The sequence below is a fragment of the Homo sapiens genome, chromosome 14 (assembly GCF_000001405.40).
Source record: "Homo sapiens chromosome 14, GRCh38.p14 Primary Assembly".
Classification (NCBI taxonomy): Eukaryota; Metazoa; Chordata; class Mammalia; order Primates; family Hominidae; genus Homo; species Homo sapiens.
In genome coordinates, this window is record NC_000014.9 from 75,300,480 (window position 1) to 75,306,479 (window position 6,000).

General features: G+C 46.2%; 1 annotated feature.

The window, feature by feature from the left end:
• Window positions 3,740-3,909: an enhancer, noted in NCBI's record as "experimental_36717 CRE fragment used in MPRA reporter constructs". NCBI's record gives its function as "activates a minimal promoter by MPRAs in K562 erythroleukemia cells, with activity observed for both the introgressed and non-introgressed 14:75771007 variant alleles {active_cell/tissue: K562}" and the evidence as "EXISTENCE:reporter gene assay evidence [ECO:0000049][PMID:34662402]".

Sequence of the window (6,000 nt, forward strand, 5' to 3'; positions counted from 1 at the left end):
GCACTTTGGGAGGCCCAGGTGGGTGGATCATGAGGTCAGGAGTTCGCGACCAGCCTGGCCAACCGTGAAACCCTGTCTCTACTAAAAATACAAAAAATTAGCCCGGCGTGGTGGCACGCGCCTGTAAGCCTAGCTACTTGGGAGGCTGAGGCAGGAGAATTGCTTGAACCTGGGAGGCGGAGGTTGCAGTGAGCCAAGATCGTGTCATTGCACTCCAGCCTGGGCGACAGTGCGAGACTCTGTCTCAAAAAAAAAAAAAAAAAAAAAAAGGTTATATAGGTTTCTAGTTCTAAATGACCCACAATTTAACCAACCCTATATTGTTGAACCTTTGGGTTGTTTCCAAATTCTGTGCTATTGTAGAAATGCTGCAGGGACCTCTGTACACATCTAAGTTGACTTTTTCAGAAATGGGCCAAAGGGTGTGCACATTTTTAAGGCTTTCGAAATGTAGTCGTGCAGTTAGTACGCTGTCAAACAGGACAATGTGCAGTCCCTGTTATCACACAGGAGGGTAGTATTGGTTCAACCAGTTTCTAGCTGCGTAATCTTGAGAAAACTACTTACTGTCTCTACACTTCGATTTCCTCAAGTGTAAAACTGGAATGATAGTAGCTATTGGATAAGATTGCTGTGAGGGTTAAATGAAAAAAATGTGGAAAGTGATGCCGGGCCCAGCACATGGTGAGCTCTCAATGAATGCTGGTTGTGTCTGACTTAAAGATTATCTTCTTTTCAGGGGAAGATAGGCTTGGAGACTGACGTTCGATTTCCTGGAAAAGTTGGGAGCAGGTGGAGATGGTAAATGAGGCTGGGTGCAGTGGCTCATGCTGGTAATTCTAGTACTTTGGGAGACCGAGGCTGGTGGATCGCTTGAGTTTAGCAGTTCAAGACCAGCCTAGGCAACATGGTGAAACCCCATCTTTACAGAAAATACAAAAAAAATTAGCTCAGCATGGTGGCATGCACCTGTAGTCCCAGCTACTTGGGAGGATCAACTAAGCCTGGGAGTTTGAGGCTGCAGTGAGCCACAATCATGCCACTGTACTCCAACCTGGGGGCAACAGAGTGAAACCTTGCCTTAAAAAAAAAAAAAAAGGGTGAATGAGGAAGATGCTGGGGAGGGCAAGCGAGAAGAGGATAAGCAATAGAGGAGCTGATGGTGACGAGGTAAAGAAAGGATTAGTAGCGGGGAGAGCAGGGGAGGATAGGAAGAGAATGGGAACTGGAAGGACAGAGGTGAGATGTCCACATGGGCCATTTGGTGCAGGGCCCCCGGGAGGCAGAACCATGCAGTAGTCACTTTGGGAACTGGGGGGCTACCTCAATCAGGTCTGGGTGAGCCTGTGTCCTCTGGTCCCTGGCCCCATCGAGCTGCCCCTTCCTGCCCTCCTCTGTCTCAGCCTCATCTTGCATCACTCCATGCCTGTCTTCTCTCAGTTCCTTGAGTAAGCATGTTCCTCTCTGTTGCGTGACCTTTGTACATTCTGTCCCCTCCCCCGCCACCCCCCGCACAGGAACTCTACTCTTTCCTGGCTAACTCCCACACATCCTTCAGATCTCTAGCTTAAAGCTCACTTCCTGGTCAGGCCTGGTGGCTCATGCCTGTAATCCCAGCACTTTGGAGGCCGAGACAGGAGGGTCATTTGAGCTCAGGAGTTCAAGACCAGCCTGGGCAACACAGTGAGACCTCATCTCTACAAAAGATAAACAAAATTATCCAGGCGTGGTGGTGCATACCTGTGGTCCCAGCTAGCTGGGAGGCTGAGGTGGGAGGATCGCTTGAGGCTTGGAGGTGGAGGCTGCAATGAGTCATGATGGCACCACTTTACTCCAGCCTGGATGACAAAGTGACACCTCAACTCTGAAAACAAAACAAAACAAAAAGATGACTTCTTCTGAGGATTTCTCTGAACATTCCATATAAAGCAGCCCCTCATCCCCACTCCCTTTCCCTTTACTCTGTCATGGCCCTCTCTCTGAACCTGCAGAGCAAGGACAAGGTTTGTAGTTATGTGTGATTATGGGATTACACACACTTGGTGTCCCCACTAGGCTGAAAGCTCCATGAGGGCAGGAACAGGGTCTGATTTTTGCTCACAATTGTATCCCTGATGCCCAGCACACAGTAAGCAATCAATAAGCATTTATTGAAATGGAAAAAGCCTATGCCTTTTTTTTTTTTTTTTGAGACGGAGTCTTGCTTTGTCCCCCAGGCTGGAGTGCAGTGGTGCCATCTCGGCTCACTGCAACCTCCACTTCCCTGGTTCAAGTGATTCTCCTGCCTCAGCCTCCTGAGTAGCTGGTATTACAAGTGCGTGCTACCACATCTGGCTAATTTTTGTATTTTTCGTAGAGATGGGGTTTCACCATGTTGCCCAGGCTGGTCTCGAACTTCTGACCACAAGTGATCTGCCTGTCTCGGCCTCCCAAAGTGCTGAGATTACAGTCGTGAACCACTGCGCCCGGCCAAGCCTATGCATTTATGACCAATGAAATGCTTTTACACCCTCTCCTGTGGCTCCAATTCCATCTTGATTGATGTTGGTTGCTTGGTCGAAGGAACAGGACATTTGGGGGCTTCAAGGGAGGCCTTAGCCAGCTCCTTTCCTACCCTCTTTTCCTTTGAGGAAGAAGCTTCCCTTTCTATGACTAGACACTTTCAACCAGTACTTCTCAAATTTTAATGTGTCTATAAATTACCCCGGGGATCTTCTTTTTTTTATTTTTATTTTTTATTTTGAGACCAAGTCTCACTCTGTCGCCCAGGCTGGAGTGCAGTGGCGTGATCTCGGCTCACTGCCACCTCCGCCTCCCGGGTTCAAGCCATTCTCCTGCCTCAGCCTCCCAAGTATCTGGGAGTACAGGCACTCACCAGCACGTCCGGCTAATTTTTGTGTTTTTAGTAGAGACGAGGTTTCACCATGTTGGCCAGGCTGTGTGTCGAACTCCTGACCAGCAGGAATTCCTGATCCACCCGCCTTGGCCTCCCAAAGTGCTGGGATTACAGACCTGAGCCTCTGTGCCTGTCCTTCGACCGGGGATCTTCTTAACGTGCAAATTCTGAGGCAGATCTGGGGTAGGATCGAGATTCTGCGTCTCTAACAATCTCCCAGGTGAAGTCCATAATGCTAATTCCAGGACCAAGGCTTTCACATTTCGGCATCTGTGATCTACAGGCCACTGGGATTTCCACGCTTTAGGTTGAGTCGCTGCGCCCCCTCTTGACCACTAAAGGATATGACAATCTTCGACCGAGGGGATAAAGACACCGTGCATGAATTGTAAAACACATCACACTCTTGGGGAATAGGATCTTCTCTAAAAGCAAATGGGCATACGGATTCCGATAGCATTAGTACATTTATTCTTCATTTTAATTTAATTTTATTTTTTGTAGAGACAGGGTTTTGCCATGTTGCCCAGACTGGTCTCGAATTCCTGAGCTCAGGCCACCCACTCGCCTCTGCCTCCCAAAGTGCTGGGATTACAGGCATGAGCCACCGCGCCCGGCCTGCAGAGTGTATTCTTAAGAATAAATTGGGGTGGGTGTCGTGGCTTACGCCTATAATCCCAACACTTTGGGAGTCCGAGGCGGGCGGATCACGAGGTCAGGAGTTCAAGACCAGCCTGGCCAACATGGTGAAACCCTGTCTCTACTAAAAATACAAAAATTAACCGGGTGTAGTGGCGGGTGCCTGTAATTCCAGCTACTCGAGAGGCTGAGGCAGGAGAACCACTTGAACTTGGGAGTCGGAGGTTGCAGTGAGCCGAGATGGTGCCATTGCACTCCAGCCTGGGTGACGAAGCAACACTGTCTCAAAAAAGAAGAAGAAAAAAAAAAGAATAAATTTTCTGATCGGGCCTGGTGGCTGCGACTATAAGTGTGTGCCACCATGCCTGCCTAATTTTTGTATTTTTTTGTACAGACATGGTTTCGTACAAAACCTTGTCTCCAGCTCCTGGGCTAAACACTCTGCCTTCCTCGGCTTCCCAAAGTGCTGGGATTACAGGTGTGAGCCACTGTGACCAGGCCTCCTTTTTTTTTTTTCTTCCTATTTTTTATATATGGTGGTAAAATACACACAACATTTGCCATCTTAACCATTTTTAAGTGTCCAGGTCAGTGGTATTAAATACATTCACAATGTCGTGCAGCTGTCACCACCATCCCACCATCTGTCTGTCTCTAGAACTCTGTCTCCTAAAACTGAAACCCTGTACCCATTAAACAGTAATTTCTTATTCTTCCCTCTCCCCAGCCCCTGGCATCCACCATTTTACTTTCTGTTGCTATGATTTTAAGGGACTTTATATAAGTGGAATCATACAGTGGGTATCCTTTTCTGACTGGCTTGTATCACGTAGTATAATGGCCTCAAGCTTCATTCAGGCTGCAGTATGTGTTGGAATGTCTTTCCTTTTTAAGGCTGAATAATATTCCATTATACATATACACCACGTTTTGCTTATCCATTCATCATTGATGGACATTTGGGTTGCTTCTACATTTTAGCTATTATGAATAATGCTGCTATGAACATGGGTGTACAAATATCTCTTTGAGATCAGCTTTCAGTTTTTGGGGGTATATACGCAGGGTAGAATTTTGGGGTCATATGGTAATTTTATTTTTAATTTTAAAAGAAACCCCCACACTGTTTTCCACAGCAGCTGTGCCATTTTACATTCTCACCAACAGTGCATAGAGTTCCAATTTCTCTACATCCTTGACAAAGTTTGTAATTTTTTCTCTCTCTCTGTGTGTGTGTGTGTGTGTGTGTGTGTGTGTGTGTGTATTTTTTTTAGAGAGTCTTGCTCTGTTGCCCAGGCTGGAGTGCAGTGGTATGCTCATGGCTCACTGTAGCCTTGATCTCCTGGGCTCAAGCGATGCTCCCACTTCAGCCTCCCGAGTAGCTGGGACTATAGGCATGGACCACCACACCTGGCTAATTTTAATGTAATGTAATTTAATTTTTTTTTTTGTAGAGATGGGGTCTCACTATGTTGCTTTGGCTGGTCTCAAACTCCTGGGCTCAAGCAATCCTCTTGCCTCAGCCTTGCAAAGTGTTGGGATTACAGGCATGAGCTACTGCACCTAGCCTGTGTGTGTGAGTGTGGTGTTTTCGTTTTTTGTTTTTGAGACGGAGTTTTGCTCTCGTTGCCCAGGCTAGAGTGCAATGGCGTGATCTCAGCTCACTGCAACCTCTGCCTCCTGGGTTCAAGCAATTCTCCTGCCTCAGCCTCCTGAGTAGCTGGGATTGCAGGCATACACCACCACGCCCAGCTAATCTTGTATTTTTAGTAGAGATGGGGTTTCTCCATGTTGGTCAGGCTGGTCTCGAACTCCCAACCTCAGGTGATCCACCCACCTTGGCCTCCCAAAGTGCTGGGATTACAGGCGTGAGCCACTGTGCATGGTCTTGTGTGTTTTTTTTTAATAGTAGCCATCCTAATGGGTGTGAGGTGGTATCTCACTGTAGTTTTGATTTCCATTTCCCTAATGTCTAGTGATGTCGAACATCTTTTGTGCTTATTTATTAGCCATTTATATATCTTCTTTGGAGAAATGTCTATTCAAGTCCTTTGGCCATTTTTGAACTGGGTTGTTTGCTTTTTTGTTGTTGAGTTTTAGGAGTTCTTTATATATTCTGGATATTAATCCTTTATCAGCTATATGATTTGCAAATGTTTTATCTCATCTTGTGGGTTGCTTTTTCACTCTGTTGCTAGTGTCTTTTCTTGCACAAAATTTAAAAATTTTCATGAAGTCTAATTTGTCTATTTTTTCTTTTATTGCTTATGCAATAAAAGTGTCATATCCAGAAAAATCATTGCCAAATCTAATGTTGTGAAGCTTATCTCCTGTGTTTCCTTCGGTGAGTTTTACAGCTTTAGGCCTTACATTTGGGTCTTTGATGCATTTTGAGTTAATCTTTGCATATGGTGTTAGGCAAGTGTCCAACTTCATTTACACGTGGATATCCAGTTTTCCCAGCA